At 50.2% G+C, this 22,428-nt stretch overlaps 1 long non-coding RNA gene across 1 annotated transcript in view, besides 3 other annotated features; it reads left to right on the top strand.

Moving 5' to 3' along the window:
• Positions 1-22,428, top strand: part of KLF2-DT (KLF2 divergent transcript) — a 41,312-nt gene that overhangs the window by 590 nt on the left and 18,294 nt on the right. The gene's annotated exons all lie outside the window — the stretch shown is intronic.
• Positions 4,400-4,479: an enhancer, noted in NCBI's record as "active region_14221". NCBI's record gives its function as "activates an Ori minimal core promoter by ATAC-STARR-seq in GM12878 lymphoblastoid cells {active_cell/tissue: GM12878}" and the evidence as "EXISTENCE:reporter gene assay evidence [ECO:0000049][PMID:35858748]".
• Positions 21,576-21,645: a silencer, noted in NCBI's record as "silent region_10293". NCBI's record gives its function as "represses an Ori minimal core promoter by ATAC-STARR-seq in GM12878 lymphoblastoid cells {active_cell/tissue: GM12878}" and the evidence as "EXISTENCE:reporter gene assay evidence [ECO:0000049][PMID:35858748]".
• Positions 21,846-21,905: an enhancer, noted in NCBI's record as "active region_14220". NCBI's record gives its function as "activates an Ori minimal core promoter by ATAC-STARR-seq in GM12878 lymphoblastoid cells {active_cell/tissue: GM12878}" and the evidence as "EXISTENCE:reporter gene assay evidence [ECO:0000049][PMID:35858748]".

Raw genomic sequence — 22,428 nt, 5'->3', positions numbered from 1 at the left:
GGTGTAGTGGGAGGCTGAGGTGGGAGGATCGCTTGAGCCCAGGAGGTCGAGGCTGCAGTGAGATACAATCACACCACTACACTCCAGCCTGGGTGACAGAGGAGACTGTCTCAAAAAAACAAACAAAACAAAACTTTTGTGTGGTAACATCAAGACACATTAAATCTTTGACATTTGAGACACCCACCCCCTCCTCCCCAACCTCAATAAGCCCGTCAAGTGCAGGGAAACTGAGGCAGAGGTGGCTGGGAGAAGTTGGAGTTGCGGCAGGCACAGGCAGGCTGGGTTCCTTTACTGACTTCCATAAATGAATTAAGTAACTCAGAGGACGGTGATGACAGTCATTCCCCCAATACAGCTCCAGCATCGGGGGCATCAGAGGACAATGCTGCCCAATGGGTCCCTTCAATGCTCCACCTCTGTCCCCCACACCATATCCCTGCTGGCCAGGGACTGTCACTCCTGTTACAACTGTCTGCCAGCCCTGGGTAGGCACTGGGGACACAGTAACCAAGAGATAGACAAGATCCCTGCCCTAGGGGACCTCCACTTTAGTGAAGGAGGGAAGGATAGAGGTTTATTCATTTGAGTTTTTTTGAGACAGGGTCTCCCTCTGTTGCCCAGTCTGGAGTGTAGTAGTGCAATCACAGCTCACTGCAGCCTCGAACTCCTGCGCTCAAGAGATCCTCCTGCCTTAGCCTCCCAAGTAGCTGGGATTACAAGGTGCACACCACCATGCCTGGCTAAATTTTTTTTTTTGTATTTTTTTGTAGAGACGGGGTCTCACTATGTTGCCCAGGCTGGTCTTGAAGTCCTGGGCTCAGGCGATCCACCCGCCTCGGCCTCCCAAAGTGCTGGGATTACAGGTGTGAGCCATTGCGCCTGGCCTTACTGATAGGGGTTTAAAAAGAAAAATGGAGCAGTAGAAGGGACTAGAAAGTGAGTGTGAGATGAGGGAGTGGGAAGGAGAAAATGGGGAAATTCTGAATCTCACCCAGGGGGTGAAATGTGAGCTAATGTGAAAAAGTCATTGGGGACCATGTGGGTATGGGAGGAAGAGCATCCCAAGGAGGAACTTGGAGCCAGGTGGTGAGGGATGCAGGCAGCTCCTGCCCTGGAAGCTTGGACTCTCAGCCTCTGCAGAAATGCACTCTGCAGGGTCCCCTCTGCAGCCCCCACCAAACCCAGTCACCGGAGACTTCAAGTTGAATACAAACTTGCTTTCTGCAGTTGCCACTGAAATGGCTGCGAGTCAGCCTCAGCCACTGAGCACGCGCTGTGTGACCTTGAACCAGTGGCTTTGGCTGTTTGGGCTTGCCTCCTCAATCTTCGAAATGCAGATAAGAATAGTACCTTACCCCAAATGGCTATTGTGAGTTCACACAGGCTCTTTTCTTTGTTGTGGAAGTAGGTGACATCTTGTGTGACACTGAATTCTCTACCAGCGCTTGGGAGATGGGCCTGCTTGTGTGCTTTGGGAATTGAATTGCCTTTCTCTGGGCCTCAGTTTCCCCGTATGATAATGATGGAAAGATTAAGGGAATCAGGAATTTCTCCTCAAGGATATGGGATGCCTGGGCAGCTGCCGGGAAGGGTTTTTGTTTGTTTGTTCCTTTGCTTTGGCCAAGACCGTCGGCTGGGCGCAGTGGCTCACACCTGTAATCCCAGCACTTTGGAAGGCTGAGGCGGGCAGATCACTTGCGGTTAGAAGTTGGAGACTAGCCTGGTCAACACGGTGAAACCCTGTCTCTACTAAAAATACAAAAATTAGCCGGGCGTGGTGGCGTGTGCCTATAATCCCAGCTACTGAAGAGGCTAGAATCGCTTGAACTTGGGAGGTGGAGGTTGCAGTGAGCCGAGACCGTGCCACTGCACTCCAGCCTGGGTGACAGGGTGACAGAGTAAGACTCTGTCTAATTAAAAGAAAAAAAAAAAAAAAAAGACCTCTGACCACAGCATCCCTCTAGTTTGTCAGAGAGCACCTTGGTCCCCTGGGCCTCTGAGCCTTGCTCACTGGCACCTGCAGCTTGTCTGAGGTACCTCTCTGCCTTCCTCCTCTCTCACTGTCTCTGTTTGGGTCCTGAAACACACCAAGCACATTCCCCTCTGCGCTCACTGCGCCCCCGACCAGCGTTCCTTTCTTTCCATTTCCAATTGTGAAGCTCCGTCGTCTCTGCCTGTCTCTCTCTCTCTCTTTTTTTTCAACCTCCCTTAACTAACGTACTTTATTTATTTGTTTATTTTTGAGACAGAGTCTTGCTCTGTTGCCCAGGCTGGAATGCAGTGGCTCAATCTTGGCTCACTGCAGCTTCCGCCTCCCGGGTTCCAGGGATTCTCCTGCCTCAGCCTCCTAGGTAGCTGGGATTACAGGCACCCGCCACCATGCCCAGCTAATTTTTGTTTGTTTGTTTGTTTTGTTTTAGTAGAGACAGAGTTTCACCATGTTGGCCAGGCTGGTCTCAAACTCCTGACCTCAAGTGATCCGCCCGCCTTGGCCTCCCAAAGTGCTGGGATTTGGGAGGCGTGACTCACAGCGCCTGGTCTGGACTTTTATTTTCTACAGCAGTTTTAGGTTTACAGAAAAATTGAGCACGAAGTACACGGCGTTCCCAGGTAGCACCCCTCGCACCACCCCAACCTTTCTCCTATTATCATCTTGCATTAGTGTGGTGCATTTGTGACAATTACTGAGCAGAGAGGAATATATTGTTATTAACTAATAATAATAATAATCCATAGTTTATTTATTTATTTATCTTGACACAGGGTCTTGCTCTGTCATCCAGGCTGGAGTGCAGTGACGCGGTCATGGCTCACTGTAGCCTCAAACTCCTAGGCTCAAGCCATCCTCCCAGCTCAGCCTCCCAAGCAGCTGGGACTACAGATGTGCACCATTATGCCTGGCTGATTTTTGTTTGTAGAGACAGGGTCTTGCCATGAGTAATTCAATCCATGAGTAATGGGTTAAATAGTGGCCCCACAAAGAAATGTCTGAGTCTCAATCCCTGGCACCTGTGACTATGACCTTATTTAGAAAGAGTTTCTTTGGCTGGGCACAGTGGCTCACGCCTGTAATCCAAGCACTTTGGGAGGCCGAGGCAGGTGGATCACCTGAGGTCAGGTGTTCAAGACCAGCCTGGCTAACATGGAAACCCCGTCTCTACTAAAAATATAAAATTAGCCAGGCACGGTGGCTTGCGCCTGTAGTCCCAGCTACTTGGGAGGCTGAGGCAGGAGAATCACTTGAATCCGAGAGGTGGAGGTTGCAGTGAGCCGAGATCGCACCCTTGCACTCCAGCCTGGGCGACAGAGTGAGACTGTCTCAAAAACAAAAAGAGTTTCTCTGCAGACATCATGAAGCGTCTTGAGGTGAGACCATCCTGGATTAAGGTGTGCCCTGATCCAGCGACAAGAGTCCTTAGGAGAGAAAGGACGCAGGAACACAAACACAGAGAAGAAGGGCATGTGAAGATGGCCAGAGATTGGAGTGAGGCAGCCACAGGCCCAGGGATATCTCCGGAGCCACCAGCAGCAAAACTGGGAAAAGATTCTTTTTGTTTCTTTTTTTTTTTTTTTAGATAGAGTCTCCCTCTGTAGCCCAGGCTGGAGTGCAGTGGCGTGATCTTGGCTCACTGCAGCCTCCACCCCTTGGGTTCAAACAATTCTTGTGCCTCAGCCTCCCAAGTAGCTGGGATTACAGGTGCATGCCACCATGCCCGGTTAATTTTTGTATTTTTAGTAGAGATGGGGCTTCATCCTGTTGGCCAGGCTGGTTTTGAGCTTCTGACCTCAAGTGATCTGCCTGCCTCAGCCTCCCAAAGTGCTGGGATTACAGGCTTGAGCCACTGCACCTAGCCAAGGGAACAGATTCTTTCTCAGATGGCTGGGTGTGGTGGCTCACGTCTGTAATTCCAACATTTTGGGAGGCCGAGGCAGGAGTATTACTGGAGCCCAGGAGTTTGAGACCAGCCTGGGTAACAAAGTGAGACCCCCTCGCTACAAAAAATACAAAAATTGGCTGGGCATGGTGGCGCATACCTGTGGTCCCAGTTACTCGGGAGGTTGAGGTGGGAGGATCGCTTGAGCCTGGAAGGCAGAGGCTGCAGTGAGCCGAGATTGCACTCACTGCACTCCAGCCTGGGCAACAGAGTGAGACTCCATCTAAAAAAAAAAAAAAAAAAGATTCTCCCTCGGAGCCTCCAGAGGGAACCAACCCTGCTGATGCCTTGATTTTGGGCTTTTGGCCTCCAAAACTGTGGGGAATACATTTCCATTGTTGGAAGCCACCCAGTCTATGTCTTTTGTTGCGGCCACCACAGGAAACTCATACATCGTGGTAACCAGCTGTTCTCCCGCCTGGCTTCCTCCCCAGACGGTGAACCCCTCAAGACAGGGGCCTCCCTTGACTCATCTCTGTGTCCCCCTGGGCCCAGCTGTGGACCCGATTTGTTGAAACAAAAGTGATGTAAAGACAGTGGCCACCCACTGAGGACCTCCCAGGGCAGCGTGAAACATTTCAGCAGAGTGCCTGGCCAGCAGAACCAATGCAGAGAGCTGCCAGTGCATGGAAAGAACACGAACTTTTCATTTTATTTTACAGAAATGAGGTCTCGTGGGCTGGTCTTGTGGGCCAGGTGTAGTGGCTCACACCTGTAATGTCAGCACTTTGGGAGGCTGAGGTGGGCAGATCACCTGAGGTCGGGAGTTCAAGACCAGCGTGAAAAGAGACCGTGGTGAAACCCCGTCTCTACAAAAACTACAAAAATCAGCTGGTCGTGGTGGCACGTGCCTGTAATCCCAGCTACTCGGGAGGCTGAGGCATGAGAATCGCTTGAACCCGGGAGGCAGAGGCTGCAGTGAGCTGAGTTCGTGCCACTGTTCTCCAGCCCAGGCGACAGAGTGAGAACCTGTCTCAAAAAAAAAAAAGAAAAGAAAAAAGCGGGAATGTTGGCTCACGCCTGTAATCCCAGCACTTTGGGAGGCTGAGGCGGGTGGATCTCGAGGTCAGGAGTTCAAGACCAGCCTGGCCAACATGGTGAAACCTTGTCTCTACTAAAAATACAAAAATTAGCCAGGCGTTGTGGTGAGCGCCTATAGTCCCAGCTACTCAGGAGGCTGAGGCAGAGAATTGCTTGAACCCGGGAGGTGGAGGTTGCAGTGAGCCGAGATCGCACCACTGTGCTCCAGCCTGGACGATAGAGCGAGACTCTGTCTCAAAAAAAAAAAAAAAAAAAAAAGAGAAATGAGGTTTCAGTGTGTTGCCCAGATTGGTCTTTAACTCCTGGCTGGCCTCAAGTGATCCTCCTGCCTTGGCTTCCCAAAGTGCTGGTATTACAGGCATGAGCCACCGTGCCCGACCTAGAAGAATTTTAATTGCCACATTAGCTGTGTGACCTTAGGCAAGCCACTTAACCTCTCGGAGCCTCAGTTTCCTTTTGAGAATATGAGATGGCATTTGTCAGTGTTCAACAGTACTTGCTGGCTGATTGTGAAGATGAGTGAATGAGCCTTTTAGGGGATCTCAGGCACTGTGGAATCTCTCTGTGCAGGAGAGGCTTGGCACTGGGAGGGGGCCTGGAGCACAGACCCGCTCCTGCTGTTGTCCTATGAACCTGCTATCTGGTTGGCATCTGCCTGCACAGGTATCTGTCCTCGTGAAGTCCCAGCCAATGATGATGTTGGAGAAAGAGCACCGGGCATGAAGTCACATTCTCAGCCCTGCCTGGAACTAGTTAGGTGACTTTACCCTCAGAGCTCTGCAAGCCTTGGCTGGGTGCGGTGGCTCACGCCTGTAATCCCAGCACTTTGGGAGGCCGAGGCGGGTGGATCATTTGAGGTCAGGAGTTTGAAACCAGCCTGGCCAACACGGTGAAACCTCGTCTCTACTAAAAATACAAAAATTAGCTGGGTGTGGTGGCTCATGCCTGTAATCCCAGCACTTTGGGAGGCTGAGGTGGGTGGATCACCTGAGGTTCAAGACCAGCCTGACCAACATAGTGAAACTCCATCTCTGCTAAAAATAGAAAAATTAGCCAGGGATGGTGGCAGGTGCCTGTAATCCCAACTACTTGGGAACTTGGGAGGCTGAGGCAGGAGAATCCCTTGAACCTGGAAGGTGGAGGTTGCAGTGAGCTGATTGTACTCCGTCCTGGGCAGCAGAGCGAGACTTCATCTCAAAAACAAAGCAAAATTAGCCAGGCATGGTGGCACACATCTGTAGTCCCAGCTACTTGGGAGGCTGAGGCAGGAGAATCACTTGAATCTGGGAGGCAGGGTTGCAGGGAGCCAAGATCATGCCACTGCACTCCAGCCTGGGTGACAGAGGGAGACTCGGTCTAAAACTCCTGACCTCAGGTGATCCACTCACCTAGGCCTCCCAAAGTGTTGGGATTACAGGCGTGAGCCACCACACCTGGCCACTGTTGGGAACTTTATGTTTCCTGATGATGATTTGTTTTTTGGAGACAGGGTCACCCAGGCTGGAATGCAGAGATGCGATCATAGTTCACTGCAGCCTTCAACTTCCAGGCTCAAGCAATACTCCCGCCTCAGCCTCCTGAGTAGCTGGGATTACAGGTGTGCACTACCTCGACTGGCTAATTTTTATTTAATTAATTAATTAATTAATTTTTGAGATGGAGTTTTGCTCTTGTTGCCCAGGCTGGAGTGCAATGGTGCGACCTCTGCTCACCACAACCTCTGCCTCCTGGGTTCAAGCAGTTCTCCTGCCTCAGCCTCCCGAGTAGCTGGGATTACAGGCATGCGCCACTATGCCCGGCTAATTTTGTATTTTTAGTACAGACTGGGTTTCTCCATGTTGGTCAGGCTGGTCTTGAGCCCCCAACCTCAGGTGATCTGCCCGCCTTGGCCTCCCAAAGTGCTGGGATTACAGGCGTGAGCCACCGTGCCTGGCCTGGCTGGCTAATTTTTAATCTTTGTAGAGACAGGGTCTCACTTTGTTGCCCAGGCTGGTCTCGAACCCCTGGGCTCAAGTGATCTTCCTGCCTAAGCCTCCCAAAGTGCTGGGATTACAGGCATGAGCCACAGTGCCCAGCCTCGATGGTGATTATCTTATTGTCATCTCTTTCTTGCTGCCCCTTATCTTCTCCTAACAACTCAACATTATAAATGTAGACCAAGGAGGCAGAATATTTTCCTCAAATCTGTTGATAATAGTTGCTTTTAGCACTGTGCTGGTGCAGATTCTGAGGTTGTAGCCAGGCCCAGTGCTGTGATGGATTGGTCATGTCTGTGATTGACTGATTGACTGGTGATGTCTGTCACTAACAGGGGATTGGATAAGTGGTACGTGTGCAGCTTTGCATTTGTTGTCTCCTGCCAGGCTGTCTTCAAGGGCTCAGGAAACTTGCAAACAAGAAGTTTTTCGTCTGAGCCACAAATAAATACTGAGCTTCCGCTCCATGCTGAGCTGAGCATGGAGAGGAAACTGATGAAGTATATGGCCTGTTTCTGCACATAGAGAGATTACAATCTTCTTTTACTGGGCCCTGGACATTTCTAGTAACCTTGAATTCTTTCCACTTTTCTTCAGGGTCTAAGCTGCCTTTCTCTTTACCAGCTGTTTTGCCCCAAATAGCTATTGTGTGCACTTGGCTCAGATCCCAAGAGCAAGTACTCAGGAATTCTACAGAAAACACGTCATGTAAAATACAGCTGAGCTTCCAAGACAAATTATGAACACTGGAGGAATTACAATCACATTACAGCAGCAACTGGATGATGACTCCCAGCTGGGGCAATTGGGGTGTTTCTGCTGAAGTTTGCACAACCCTTTTTCAGTATGTTGCAAAACTTGGCTCCTCATGTTGCAAAAATGTTTGATAGTTCTGTGTTTCTTGAGGATGCGGAGAGATACGGGCAGAGGCACCCTCTGCAAGTGCGCTTCTTATCTCGGGTCACCACCTTGTCGCTGCAATGCTTGGAGCTGAGGTCTGATAGGAAAGGTCACTTTGTGATTTGCCTGGTTGTCTCTGGAGTTTGTGTGTGTGTGTGTGTGTGTGTGTGTGTGTTTTGACAGGGTCTCGCTCTGTCTCCCAGGCTGGAGTATAGTGGTGTGATCATAGGTCACTGCAGCCTCAAACCCCTGGGCTCAAGCGATCCTTCTGCCCTTGCCTATCAAAGCACTGGGATTACAGACCTGAGCCGCCACGCCTGGCCCTGCCTCTGGAGTTTTCTTACTACTACATAAATAGGTCGCGAGTGCTTGGGGAAGATGCGGGATTGCACTGGGCTGATGACTGATGGGTTCCCATCAGAACCTCTCATCATCTTCTTGCCAGCCAGGCCATTACTGCCTCGCTCTTATTGACACACAGGACAGAAGAGGGGGAGAGAGCAATACTTACTGAGCACCTAATGTATACCAGGCCCTATGCTGAGGATCTGGATGTATTTTCTTTTTTTTTTTTTTTGAGACCAGGTCTCACTCTGTCACCCAGGCTGGAGTGAAGTGGCACGATCTCGGCTCACTGCAACCTCCACCACCCAGGTTCAAGTGATTCTCCTGCCTCAGCCTCCCAAGTAGCTGGGATTACAGGCACACGCCACTACACCTGGCTAATTTTTGTATTTTAAGTAGAGACGGGAGTCTCACCATGTTGGCCAGGCTTGTCTGGATGTATTTTCTCATTTAATCCTCCCAGTTGGTCTGTTCAGTGAGGTAAGCGATGGACAGCTGGAGCCCTGAGTTTAGATTCTGGCACTTGTACTTGTTGACCTTGAGTGAATGATATTCTTTTTTTTTTTTTTTTTGAGATGGAGTCTCGCCCTGTTGCCCAGGCTGGAGTGCAGTGGCGCAATCTCAGCTCACTGCAACCCTCTGCCTCCCAGGTTCAAGCAATTTTCCCGCCTCAGTCTCCTGAATAGCTGGGATTACAGACATGTGCCACCACGCCCAGCTAATTTTTATATTTTCAATAGAGACGGGGTTTCACCATATTGGGTAGGCTGGTCTCAAACTCCTGATCCCAGTGATGATCCGCCTGCCTCAGCCTCCCAAAGTGTTGGGATCACAGGCGTGGGCCACTGCGCTGGCCTGATGTTTTCTTTTTGAACTTCAGTCCCTCATTCGTCAAAGGGGCATGAGAATGCCTGCCCATCATGTGTTTATGAAGGTAGCAGACAGGAGAATCGCTTGAACCCTGGAGGCGGAGGTTGCAGTGAGCCGAGATGGCGCCATTGCACTCCAGCCTGGGCAACAAGAGCGAAACTCTCTCTCTCTCAAAAAAAAAAAAAAAAAAAAAAAAAGATTTTTCCTAGAAGAACCCTTCCATCTCTGGGAGCTATTTTTATTTATCTTAATTGGAGGCTGGCAAATGGTGGCTTGCAGCTTAAAAAAAAATCAAAATATCAATAGTGTAATTCTTTACATTCTATGCATATTCCTATGTAAATTATATCCATATGTATATATGTTCTTATCGAGGTGAAGCTCACATAACCTGAAATTAACCATTTTATTTTATTTCATTTATTTATTTATTTTTGAGACAGTCACTCTGTCTCCCAGGCTGGAGTACAGTGGCGCGACCTCGGCTCACTGCAGCCTCCATCTCCCAGGTTCAAGTGATTCTTCTGTCTCAGCCTCCCAAGTAGCTGGGATTACAGACGTGCGCCACTCCACCTGGCTAACTTTTGTATTTTTTGTAGAGATGGGGTTTCACCGTGTTAGTCAGGGTGGTCTCGAACTCTCAACCTCAGGTGATCCACCAGCCTCGGCCTCCCAAAGTGCTGGGATTACAGGCGTGAGCCACTGCGCCCAGCTGAAATTCACTATTTTAAAGTGCACAATTCAGTGGCATTTGCTACATTCAGTGCTCTGCGAATGTCACCTCTGTCTGGCTGCAGAACATTTCTGTCGCCGCCAAAGAAAACCCTGTCCCCATCAGCAGTCACTCCCCACTCCCCTCCCCCAGCCCCTGGCAACCACCAATCTGCTTCCTGTCTCTATGGATTTGCCTGTTCTAGGCTTTTTTTTTTTTTTTTTTCCTTGAGACGGAGTCTGGCTCTGTTGCCCAGGCTGGAGTGCAATGGCGCGATCTCGGCTTACTGCAACCTCTGCCTCCGGGTTCAAGCGATTCTCTTGTCTCAACCTCCTGAGTAGCTGGGATTACAGGCACCTGCCACCACACCCGGCTAATTTTGTATTTTTACTAGAGACAGGGTTTCTCCATGTTGGCTAACTTTTGTATTTTTTGTAGAGACAGGGTTTCACTGTGTTGGTCAGGCTGGTCTCCAACTCCTGACCTCAGGTGATCTGCCCGCCTCGGCCTCCCAGAGTGGTGGGATTACAAGCGTGAGCCACTGCACCAGCCAACATTTTTATATGAATGGAATCATATAATATGTGGGCACTGCAGCTTTCATTTGGCCCATGAGCTAAGCATGGATTTACATTTATGAATGGTTGGAAAAAAAAGAATAGTACTTCGTGAAACACAAACATTATATGAAAATCAAATTTCAGTGTGCATAAATACATCTTACTGTCAGTGATACCCATTCATAGATCCATCATCTATAGCTACTTTTTTTCTTTTTGAGACAGGGTCTGGCTCTGTCTTCCAGGCTGGAGTGCAGTGGCACGATCACAGCTCACTGCAGCCTTGACCTCCTGAGCTCAGTTGATCCTCCCACCTCAGCCTCCCAAGTAGCTTGGAACTACAGGCGTGGGCTACCACGCTCGGCTGATTTTTTGTAGAGACAGGGTCTGTGTTGTCCATACTGGTTTCGAACTCCTTGCCTGAAGAGATCCTATCCTGCCTTGGCCTTCTAAAGTGTCGGGATTACAGGCATGAGCCACTGCGCCTGGCAATGGCTACTTTCCTGGGATGACGACAGAGTTGAGTCATTTTGAAAGGGACCACGTGGCCCACAAGGCAGAAAATCTTGACTCTGGCCAAAGCTTAGAGACGTTAGCTTCAAGCACAGGGAGAAGCCAGCAGAGCTATGTTCAACTCCAGAGTCTGGACTGAATTCCCAGACTATCGCTGCCTCTCAGTATGCTTTTTTTTTTTTTTTTTTTTTTTTTTTGAGATGGAGTCTTTCTCTGTTGCCCAGGCTGGAGTGCAGTGGCGCAATCTTGGCTCACGGCAACCTCCACCTCCCGGTTCAAGCAATTCTTGTGCCTTAGCCTCCCGAGTAGCTGGGACTACAGGAGTGTGCCACCATGCCTGGCTAATTTTTGTATTTTTAGTAGAGACAAGGTTTCACCATGTTGACCAGGCTGGTCTCGAACTCCTGACCTCAGGTGATCTGCCCACCTCAGGCTCCCAAAGTACTGGGATTACAGGTGTGAAACACCGTGCCTGGCCTCAGTATGCGTTTAATAGACACTGATGAACACTCTTTTGTTGTTGTTGTTGAGACAGGATCTTGTTCTATTGCCCAGGCTAGAGTGCAGTGGTGCAGTCATAACTCACTGCAGCCTCAAACTCCCGGGCTTAAGTGATCCTCCTGCTTCAGCCTCCTGAGTAGCTGGGACTACAGGTGCATGCCACCAAACCCTGCTAATTTTTTATTTTGTTTGTAGAGACAGGGTCTCCCTATGCTGCCCAGGCTGGTCTCCAACTCCTGGTCTCAAATGATCCTCCTGCCTTGGCCTCCCAAAGTGCTGGGTGTGAGCCACCATGCCTGGCTAAGGAATACTTCTTATTGGGCAGGTGCTGGAGTGTGAGCTGTCTACCAGAATGGGCCAGTCTTTGCCCTCATGGAGCTTCCAGACAGGGAGGAGCCTGAGGGTTAACTGAAGCTCTATCCAAGCAACACAGAGTCACAGGCGGATGGGAAGGCTGAGGGAAAAGTGGGGAGTGCTCAGGGCAGGATAACAGGGCTCTGGCTTGGATTGGAGGGGAGGCAGGCAGAAAAAAACTTTTTTTTTTTTTTTTGAGACAGAGTCTCGCTCTGTCGCCCAGGCTGGAGTGCGGTGGCACAATCTCGGCTCACTGCAAGCTCCGCCTCCCGGGTTCACACCATTCTCCTGCTTCAGCCTCCCGAGTAGCTGGGACTACAGGCGCCCGCCACCACGCCCGGCTAATTTTTTGTATTTTTAGTAGAGAGGGGGTTTCACCGTGTTAGCCAGGATGGTCTCGATCTCCTGACCTCGTGATCTGCCCGTCTTGGCCTCCCAAAGTGCTCGGATTACAGGCATGAGCCACTGCGCCCGGCCCGGAAGAAACCTTTTAAGGCTGGGTGCAGTGGCTTACGGCTGTAATCCCAGCACTTTGGGAGGCTGAGGCGGGCAAATCATGAGGTCAGGAGATCGACACCATCCTGGCCAACATGGTGAAACCCTGTCTCTACTAAAAATACAAAAATCAGCTGGGCGTGGTGGCATGCGCCTGTAGTCCCAGCTACTCAGGAGTCTGAGGCAGGAGAATCGCTTGAACCTGAGAGGTAGAGGTTGCAGTGAGCCGAGATCACGCCACTGCACTCCAGCCTGGTGACAGAGTGAGATTCTGTCTCAAACAAACAAACAAACGAACAATCAACCTTTTAAGCAGAAACTTGAAGGCCGAGGGGTCACGTCCAGGAGAGTGGCGAATCTGGACTGTTAATGTCAGCGGTATGAACATCACTAGCATCTGGGACATTTTAAGTACGTGGTTGTAAATGTCTGATTTACGAGTGCTAACTTCAGAGTGATTTCTTTTTTCTTTTCTTTTGAGACAAGGTCTTGCTCTGTTGCCCTGGCTGGAGTGTAGTGGTGCGATCTCAGCTCACTGCAGCCTTGATTTTCCAGGCTCAAGCCATCCTCCCACTTCAGCCTCCCGAGTAGCTGGGACTACAGGTGGCAGCCACCACGCCTGGCTATTTTTTTTTTTTTGTCTTATTAGTAGAGACAGGGTTTCTCCATGTTGCCCAGGCTGGTCTGGAACTCCTGGGCTCAAGTGATCTACCCGCCTCCACCTCCCAAAAGTGCTGAGATTACAGGCAAGAGCCACCTCACCCGGCCTTTTTTTTTCTTTCTTTCTTTGCCATATATCTGGGCTAGGGACTCCTTTTTCTCTTTTGTTTCATTTAGTTCTTACAGATTTATTGAGATATCATTTACACATCATAAAATTTATTAGTTTTTTTTTTTTTTTGAGGCAGAGTCTCTCTCTGCCGCCAGGCTGGAGTGCAATGGCACGACCTTGGCTCACTGCAACCTCCGCCTCCCGGGTTCAAGCGATTCTCCTGCCTCAGCCTCCTGAGTAGCTGGGATTACAGGTGCCTGCCACCACGCCCGTCTGATTTTTTTTGTATTTTTAGTAGAGACTGGGTTTGGCCAGGTTGGTCTCGAACTCCTGACCTCAGATGATTTGCCTGCCTCGGCCTCCCGAAGTGCTGGGATTACAGGCATGAGCCACCACGTGTAATTTATTTATTTATGTATTTATAGACAGCGTCTTGCTCTTGTCACCCAGGCTGGAGGACAGTATAATTTATTATTTATTTATGTAGAGACAGCATCCTGGAGTACAGTGGCATGATCACAACTTACTGCAGCCTTGATCTCCTGGCCTCAAGCAAGTTATCTCACCCCAGGCTCCCAAAGTGCTGGGACTGCAGGCATGAGCCATTGTGTCTGGCAAAGCCATCTCTTTGATCAGCCCTTTTGGACTCCCTGACATGCTCTGCCCACCAGAGGTGGCTGGCACACTTCCCTTCTCATAACGCCATTGCACTCCAGCCTGGGTGACAGAGTGAGACCCTATTTAAAAAAAAAAAAAATGGCCGGTCACAGTGGGTCATGCCTGTAATCCCAGCACTTTGGGAGGCTGAGGCAGGTGGATCACCTGAGGTCAGGAGTTCAAGACCAGCCTGGCCAATATGGTGAAAGCCCATCTCTACTAAAAATACAAAAATTAGCCAGGTGTAGTGGTGGGCGCCTGTAGTCCCAGCTACTCAGGAGGCTGAGACAGGCGAATCACTTGAACCTGGGAGGCGGAGGTTGAAATGAGCCGAGGTCACGCCACTGCACTCCAGCCTGGGCAACAGAGCGAGACTCCATCAAAAAAAAAAAAAAGTGTCAGAGGAATGCAAACAAATCCTTATACACACACACACACACGCACACACTCACAATAGCCCCAAAGTGGAAGCAAATCAAGTGTCCATCCACAGGCAAACGGATCAACACAATGTGGTCCATGCACAGTATAGAATATTATTCAGCCATGAAAAGGAAGGAAGCACTGACCCATGCTACAGCATGGATGAACCCCAAAAACATGATGTTGAGAGAAGCCAGACACAAAGGCCACGTAGTGTGAGATTCCATCTGTGTGAAATGCCCAGAACAGGCAACTCCATACAGCCAGGAAGCAGATGGCTTCCTGTGTCTTCTGTGTTCAGCAGAATTGGTGCCTGGAGCAGGAATGGGTCCATTTTGATGGGGAGAGTGGGGAGGCCCAGGGCCAGGGGGACAGTGGTTGAGTTTGAGCCCCACATTTTGGGATCCTGGGGAGCTCTTTTTGTGGGAGCAGACTTCTGACTTGCCTTGTAATTTCAGTGCTTCAGCCTGATGCCCTTCAGCCTCATAATTGGGGTGGAAAATCATAATGATGTTGTTAAGCAATTATGTCATTATATATTATTAATAATGACAGCTATCATGAAGAGAAACTCTTCATGTAAGAGGTAAATCTTACACGGAAGGGGTAAGTCACCGAAGGACTCCATTTAACATGCTTGAAGTGTATTTGTAAAATTCCACATCTTTTAGGTGACTGGGTGTTTCTGGGTGCCTGTAACAATTTCCTTGGAAAATGGAGTGTAAATATCTTCTCTTTCCATTTGTTTCGCATTTTCATTTTTTAAAAAATTGAGGTGGAATTCACATAACATAAAGTTAGCCATTTTTAAATTTTATTTTATTTTTTGAGGCGGAATCTCACTCTGTCACCCAGGCCCGAGTGCAGTGGCATGATCTTGGCTCACTGCAACCTCCATCTCCCGGGTTCAAGTGATTCTCCTGCCTCAGCCTCCTGAGTAGCTGGAATTACAGGCGCCTGCCACCACGCCTGGCTAACTTTTGGATTTTTAGTAGAGACGGGGTTTCACCATGTTGGCCAGGCTGGTTTCAAACTCCTGACCTCAGGTGATTCACCCGCCTCAGCCTCCCAAAGTGTTGGCAATTATAGGCATGAGCCACTTTGCCCGGCCAATTTTATTTTATATTTTTAGAGATGGGGGGTCTCGCCTCTTGCCCAGACTGGAATGCAGTGGTGTGATCATAGCTCGCCTCGACCTCCCAGGCTCAAGCAATCGTCCCACCTCAACCTTCTAAGTAGTTGGGACTACAGGCGCGTGCCACTATGCCTGGCTAATTTTTAAATGTTTTGTAGAGATGGGTCTCACCATGTTGCCCAGGCTGGTCTCAAACTCCTGGGCTCAAGTGATCCTCCCACCTTTGCCTCCCAAAGTGCTGGGATTACAGAGGTGAGCCACCAGGCCCGGCCAAAGGTAGCCATTTTTAAATGTACAATTTGGTGGCATTTAGCGCATTCCCAGTGTTGTGCAGCCACTACCTCTGACTAGTCCCAGGACATCTTCATCCCCACAAAAGGAGACCCTGTCCCCATCAGCAGTCACTCCCCATTCCCCTTCCCCAGTCCCTGGCAACCACCCATCTGCTTCCTGGCTGTATGGAGTTGCCTATTCTGGGCATTTCACTCAGATGGAATCTCACGCTATGTGGCCTTTGTGTCTGGCTTCTCTCAGCATCGTGTTTTCGGGGTTCATCCATGCTGAAGCATGGGTCAGTGCTTCCTTTTCATGGCTGAATAATATTCCATATTGTGGATGGACCACATTGTTTCGGTCCATTTGCCTGTTGATGGACACTTGATTTGCTTCCACCTTGGGGCTATTGTGAGTGTGTGTGTGTGTGTGTGTGTGTGTGTGTGTAAGGATTTGTTTGCATTCCTCTGACACTTTTTTTTTTTTTTGATGGAGTCTTGCTCTGTTGCCCAGGCTGGAGTGCAGTGGCGTGACCTCGGCTCATTTCAACCTCCGCCTGCCAGGTTCAAGTGATTCTCCTGTCTCAGCCTCCTGAGTAGCTGGGACTACGATCCACCTGCCACCTTGGGAGTCACCTTAGCCCCCTGTCCCTCCCCTCCTTCAAGGTCCCCAGAAGAAACTCACCTGTCAGCCTTCGACTTGGGACCTCCAGGACTGTGAGAGAACACGTTTCCGTTGTTGGAAGCCACTGTGAACCCCGAAAATTTGAGACAGTTCTTAGTTAATTTAGCAAGTTTATTTTGCGGCCGGGCATGGTGGCTCATGCCTGTAATCCCAGCACTTGGAGAGGCCGAGGCGGGCGGATCACCTGAGGTCAGGAGTTCGAGACCAGCCTGACCAACATGGTGAAACCCCGTTTCTACTAAAAATACAAAAATTAGCTGGGTGCCTGTCATCCCAGCTACTCGGGAAGCTGAGGCAGAAGAATCACTTGAACCCAGGAGCCAGAGGTTGCAGTGAGCCGAGATCGTGCCACTGCACTCTAGCCTGGGTGACAGACAGAGACTCTGTCTCAAAAAAAAAAAAAAGAAAAAGTTTATTTTGCCAAGGTTGGGGATGCCCGTCCATGACACAGACTCAGGAGGTCCTGATGACATGTGTCCAAGGTGGTCGGGGCACAGCTTAGTCTTGGACATTTAGGGAGACAGGAGACATCAGTCAATATATGTAAGAACTACATTGGTTCAGTGTTGAAAGGCAGGACGACTCGAAGCAAAGGCAGGAAGACTTGAAGCCAGGAGGGAGCTTCCAGGTCACAGGTTTCTTAATAGCAACCCCAGGGAACTCGGGACGGCGGGAGGGGACAGTGGGGGCATCTGTGCAGTTCCACACCAGGGCTAGGCGTGGCGGGGGACGCGGGCGTGAGTCTGGCTCGATGCCCCTCAGGTTCCCAGGCCGGGTAAGGAGCCAGAGGAGTCCAAAACCAGCCCGGGTGGAGCAAGATTTATGCTGTGGGGGAGGTGCAATTATCGTCATCACCATCATTATTAAGAGCCATTAGCAGCTGCTGTAAAATGAGCTCATTATCCCCCCTCCACTCCGGCCTCTGTTTCCCACCTCAGTTAATGGAACCCCTGCCACCCAGGTGCCAGATCCAGAGCCGGGTGCTGACTCTGGGCCCCACCCCCAGCCCACTGGGTCCTTTCTACCGCCTAGACTAGAGTTTTGGGCTGAAACACAGGACCCCCCACTTAAATGTAAATTTCAGATAGAGGCCAGGTGCAGTGGCTCGTGCCTGGAATCCCAGCACTCTGGGAGGCCAAGGCGAGTGGATCGCTTGAGCCCAGGAGTTTGAGACCGGTCTGGGAAGCACAGCAAGACCTTATCTCAACAAAATTTTTTTTTTTTTGATACAGTCTCTGTCGCCGAGGTTGGAGTGAAGTGGTGCAATCTCGACTCACTGCAACCTCCACCTCCCGGGTTCAAGCGATTCTGCTGCCTCAGCCTCCCGAGTAGCTGGGAGTATAGGCGCCCACCACCACGCCTTGCTAATTTTTGTATTTTTAGTAGAGGCGGGGCGGGGTTTCACCATGCTGGCCGGGCTGTTCTCGAACTCCTGACCTCAGGTGATCCATCTACCTCGGCCTCCTAAAGTGTTAAAACTACAGGCGTGAGCCCTGCGCCTAGCCACAAAAAATTTTTTAAAAATTATCCGGGAGGCCGGGCATGGTGGCTCATGACTGTAATCCCAGCACTTTGGGAGGCCGAGGCAGGTGGATTGCCTGAGGTCAGGAGTTCGAAACCAGCCTGACCAACATGGTGAAACCCTATCTCTACTAAAAATATAAAAATTAGCTGGGCGTCGTGGCATCTGCCTGTAATCCCAGCTACTAGGGAGACTGAGGCAGGACAATCGTTTGAACCCGGGAGGTGGAGGTTGCGGTGAGCCAAGATCGTGCCATTGCACTGCAGCCTGGGCAACAAAAGCAAAACTCCATCTCAAAAAAAGAAAAAAAAAATTATCCGGGCATGGTGGCTCGTGCCTGTGGTCCCAGCTACTCAGCCGGATTGCTTGAGCCCAGGAGGTCAAGGCTGCAATGAGCCATGGTCACACCACTGCACTCCAGCCTAGGCAACAGAGTGAGGCCCTGTCTAAAAAATAATCATAAATAAATACATTTCAGATAGGGAAGGATTTTTTTATTTAAGTATGGGTAAGTTCCAATATTGCTGCTTATGTCTCCCTTCTTAGCTTACTTTTTTTTATTTTTTTTTTTTGAGACAGGGTCTCACTCTGTTGCCCAGGCTGTAACCTTGACCTTCCGGGCTCAAACGATCCTCCCATCGCGACCCCTCAAGTAGCTGGGACTACGGGTACATGCCATCACTCCCGGCTAATTTTTGTAATTTTTGTAGAGATGTGATTTTGCTGTGTGGCCCAGGCTGGACTCAAACTCCTGAACTCAAGGAGTCCTCTTGCCTTGGCCTCCCAAAGCATTGGGATTACAGGTGTGAGCCACTGCACCTGGCATGAGTTGTAAAATAAACGTCTTATAAGTGTTTTATTTTGGAATCAGTTTAATGGCAGGAAAGTTGCAAAGAGGCTATGCAGCACTCCCATGTCCCCTTCCACCAGCTTCCTCTGATGTTGACATCTTTCCCTACCTCAGTACATTTGGTGAAACTAAGAAATTAATGCTGGGACAATGATGCTATCAACTAAACTCCAGACATTCTATGTGGATGTCACCAATGTTCCCACAAATGTCCTCCCTCTCTTCCAGGATCCTTCACCTTATTTAGCCCCCGTTCCTCCCTGATCTCCTCTGGTCTGTGATGGTTTCTTAGTCTTTCCTTGTTTTTCATGACCTCAGCAGTGTTCAATCTCTTGTTGTTTTTTTTTTTCTTTTTTTTTTTTTTTAGACGGAGTTTCACTCTTGTTGCCCAGGCTGCAGTGCAGTGGCGCAATCTCAGCTCACTGCAACCTCCGCCTCCTGGGTTCAACCGATTCTCCCACCTCAGCCTCCCGAGTAGCTGGGATTACAGGCATCCACAACCACACTCGGCTAATTTTTGTATTTTTAGTAGAGATGGGGTTTCACCGTGTTGGCCAGGCTGGTCTCAAATTCCTGACCTCCAGTGATCTGCCCGCCTCAGCCTTGAAAAGTACTGGGATTACAGACCTGAGCCATTGTGCTTGGCCCGTTTTTTTTTTTTTTTTTTTTTTTTTTTTTTTTTAGACAGGCTCTCACTCTGTTGCTCAGGCTGAAGTGCAGTAACTTGATCGCAGCTCACTGCAGCCTCAAGCTCCTGGGCTCAAGTGATTTTTCCACCTCAGCCTCCTGAGTAGCAGGGACCATAGGTGTGTGCCATATGCTTGGGTATTTTTTTAAACTTTTTGTGCAGATGGGGTCTTGCTATGTTGTCCAGGCTGGTCTTGAATTCCTGGACTCAAGTGATCCTCCTGCCTTGGCCTCCTGAAGTGCTGGGATTACAGGTGTGAGAGACTTTGTCAGTCTTTTTTTTTTTTTTTTTCTGAGATGGAGTTTCGCTCTTCTTGCCCAGGCTGGAATGCAGTGGCACCATCTCAGCTCACTGCAACCTCTGCCTCTGCCTCTTGGGCTCAAGTGATTCTCATGCCTCAGCCTCCCGAGTAGCTGGGATTACAGGCGCCCACCCACCATACCCACCTACTTTTTTGTGTGTTTTAGTAGGGAGGGGGATTCATCTGTTGGTCAGGCTGGTCTTGAACTCCTGCCCTCAGGTGATCAACCTGCCTTAGCCTCCCAAAATTCTGGGATTATAGGCATGAGCCACCGTGCCTGGCTGACTTTGGCAGTCTTAAAGAGTGCTGGCCGGTCCCCCCCCAGGGCATCCAAGTGTACCCCAATCTGTGTTTGACATTTTCTTGTGGTTAGACAGGAATTGTGGGGTTTGGGGAAGAAGACGGGAGCATGCCCTCCTCATCACATCATATCGGGGATGCCCAGTGTCCCCATCCATACCCCCAGTCATGCCAATACTGTGCATTATGGCTGGGGAGCCAAACAAATGCTCCCCAAGCATCTTCCCTCCCCAAGTATCTTCAAGAACTGGAAGGAGTTCCAGTTCCTCAGAGCCAGACACAATAACATATCCCAGACACTGGCCACTTGGCTGGAGGCCGAATTTTAATGGGAGGAAGTGGACATAGAAGAATATTGCCAGCTGCAGAACCTAGAGCCCCTACATAGTTCTCCTATCTTCTCCCCAGTTTCCCAATGTGGACACTTTACAGCCTCAAACAAGCATGCATCTGCCTGCATGTGTTTCTCTAACTTGCCGCCTGAAGACTGTCAACTGACCTATTTTAAAATTATTTAGGCCAGGCGCGGTGGCTCACACCTGTAATACCAGCACTTTGGGAGCTCTAGGCAGGCAGATCACCTGAGGTCAGGAGTTCGAGACCAGCCTGGCCAACATGGCGAAACCCCGTCTCTACTAAAAATACAAAAATTAGCTGGGCGTGGTGGTGCGCGCCTGTAATCCCAGCTACTCAGGAGGCTGAGGCAGGAGAATCACTTGAACCAGGGAGGCGGAGGTTGCAGTGAGCCAAGACTGTGCCACTGCACTCCAGCCTGGGGGACAGAGCCAGACTGTCTCAAAAAAAAAAAAAAAAAAGGTGGTAGGGGGTAAGCCGGCATGAGATGAGAAATGGACTCTTCAGGGGCTGGTAAGCAGGATTTCCCAACTTCAGCACTTGAGGCCGGATTATCTGTGTGGCAGAGGCCATCCCGTGCATTGTAGCATCCCTGGCCTGCACCCACCAGATACTATTAGGTTGGTGCAAAAGTCATTGCCGTTCTTGCCATTATTATTATTATTATTTTTTGAGATGGAATCTTATGCCGTCGCCCAGGCTGGAGTGCAGTGCTGCAGTCTCGGCTCACTGCAACCTCCGCCTCCTGGGTTCAAGCGATTCTCCTGCCTCAGCCTCCCCAGTGGCTGGGATGACAGGTGCGCGGCATCATGCTTGGCTGATTTTCGTACTTTTTTTTTTTTTTTTTGAGATGGTGTCTCGCTCTGTTGCCCAGGCTGGAGTGCAGTGGCGTGATCTCCGCTCACTGCAAGCTCCGCCCCCTGGGTTCATGCCATTCTCCTGCCTCAGCCTCCGGAGTAGCTGGGACTATAGGCGCCCGCCACCACACCTGGCTAATTTTTTTTGTATTTTTAGTAGAGACGGGGTTTCACAGTGTTCGCCAGGATGGTCTCGATCTCCTGACCTCGTGATCGACCTGCCTCAGCTTCCCAAAGTGCTGGGATTACAGGCGTGAGCCACCGCGCCCGGCCATGATTTTTGTATTTTTAGTAGGGACAGGGTTTCACCATACTGGCCAGGCTGGTCTAGAACTCCTGACCTCAGGTGATCCACCCGCCTCGGCCTCCCAAAGTGCTGGGTTACAGGCGTGAGCTACCGCGCCTGGCCCTTGCCATTACTTTTTTTTTAATGGCAAAACCCACAATTAATAGCATTCCCCCGACGCGCCTCCCCGAGTCGTGAGGACCAAAAATGTCTCTAGACGTTGCCAAGCTTTCTCAGGTGTGAACCTGTGTCTAACCATAAGAGGCCAGGCTGCACTTCAGAGCTGTGATTTGCATTTCTAGGAAACCCTGGGGGCTGTACTGGGTGTTCGACACCCTCCCCGACCCCAGCCCTGGGATGGAAACCTCTCTCCGTGTCACTGGTTCTGCATGGGGTATGTTGGACATTTGCAATTTGATAAGTAAAGTCCCAGCTCCCCTGACCCAGAGAAGTCTGTCCCTGAGTGATCTGCGCTGCATACCCAAAATAATGACTGATGACCCACAGAAGGCCTGGCACATGCGGTGTTCAGAACAAGAGAAAAGACAGGAACAGTGGGCAAATGCAGCCTGACTCATGCCGGCCGGCCGTGCAAGGAGTGCCAAGGCCTGACTCACAGCCCACGATGTCACACTTGCACCTGTGTCCCAGCAAGGGCGCCCCGTAAGAAAATATTGGCTAAACCCCTAGCAATCAAGCGGGGACGGCCCCGTGCCTGCACAAGCCTGTGGCGAGAAGGGGCATGGGGCCCACGACAGCCTTGTACACTTGGTGAACCCTGGGCTGTTTGCAGGAGGAAGGCTGACTCAGCCGAGGAGTGTGGAGACCCCCGGAGACCCCTGGGGAAGGGGAGTTTCAGAGGCTTCCCATTGTTGTTGTTTTTTTTTTTTTTTTTTTTTTTGAGGCAGAGTCTTCTTGGTCTGTCGCCCAGGCTGGAGTATAGTGGCACCATCTCGGCTTACTGCAACCTCTGCCTCCCGGGTTCAAGGGATTCTCTTGTCTCAGCCTCCTGAGTAGCTGGGATTACAGCATAGGCCACCATGCCTGGCTAATTTTTATATTTTTAGTAGAGATGGAGTTTCACCATGTTGGCCAGGTTGGTCTCGAACTCCTGACTTCAG

This window comes from Homo sapiens, chromosome 19 (genome assembly GCF_000001405.40).
Source record: "Homo sapiens chromosome 19, GRCh38.p14 Primary Assembly".
Classification (NCBI taxonomy): domain Eukaryota; kingdom Metazoa; phylum Chordata; class Mammalia; order Primates; family Hominidae; genus Homo; species Homo sapiens.
The sequence above is the reverse complement of the archived record's forward strand: the minus strand, read 5'-3'. Positions and strand labels throughout refer to the sequence as shown.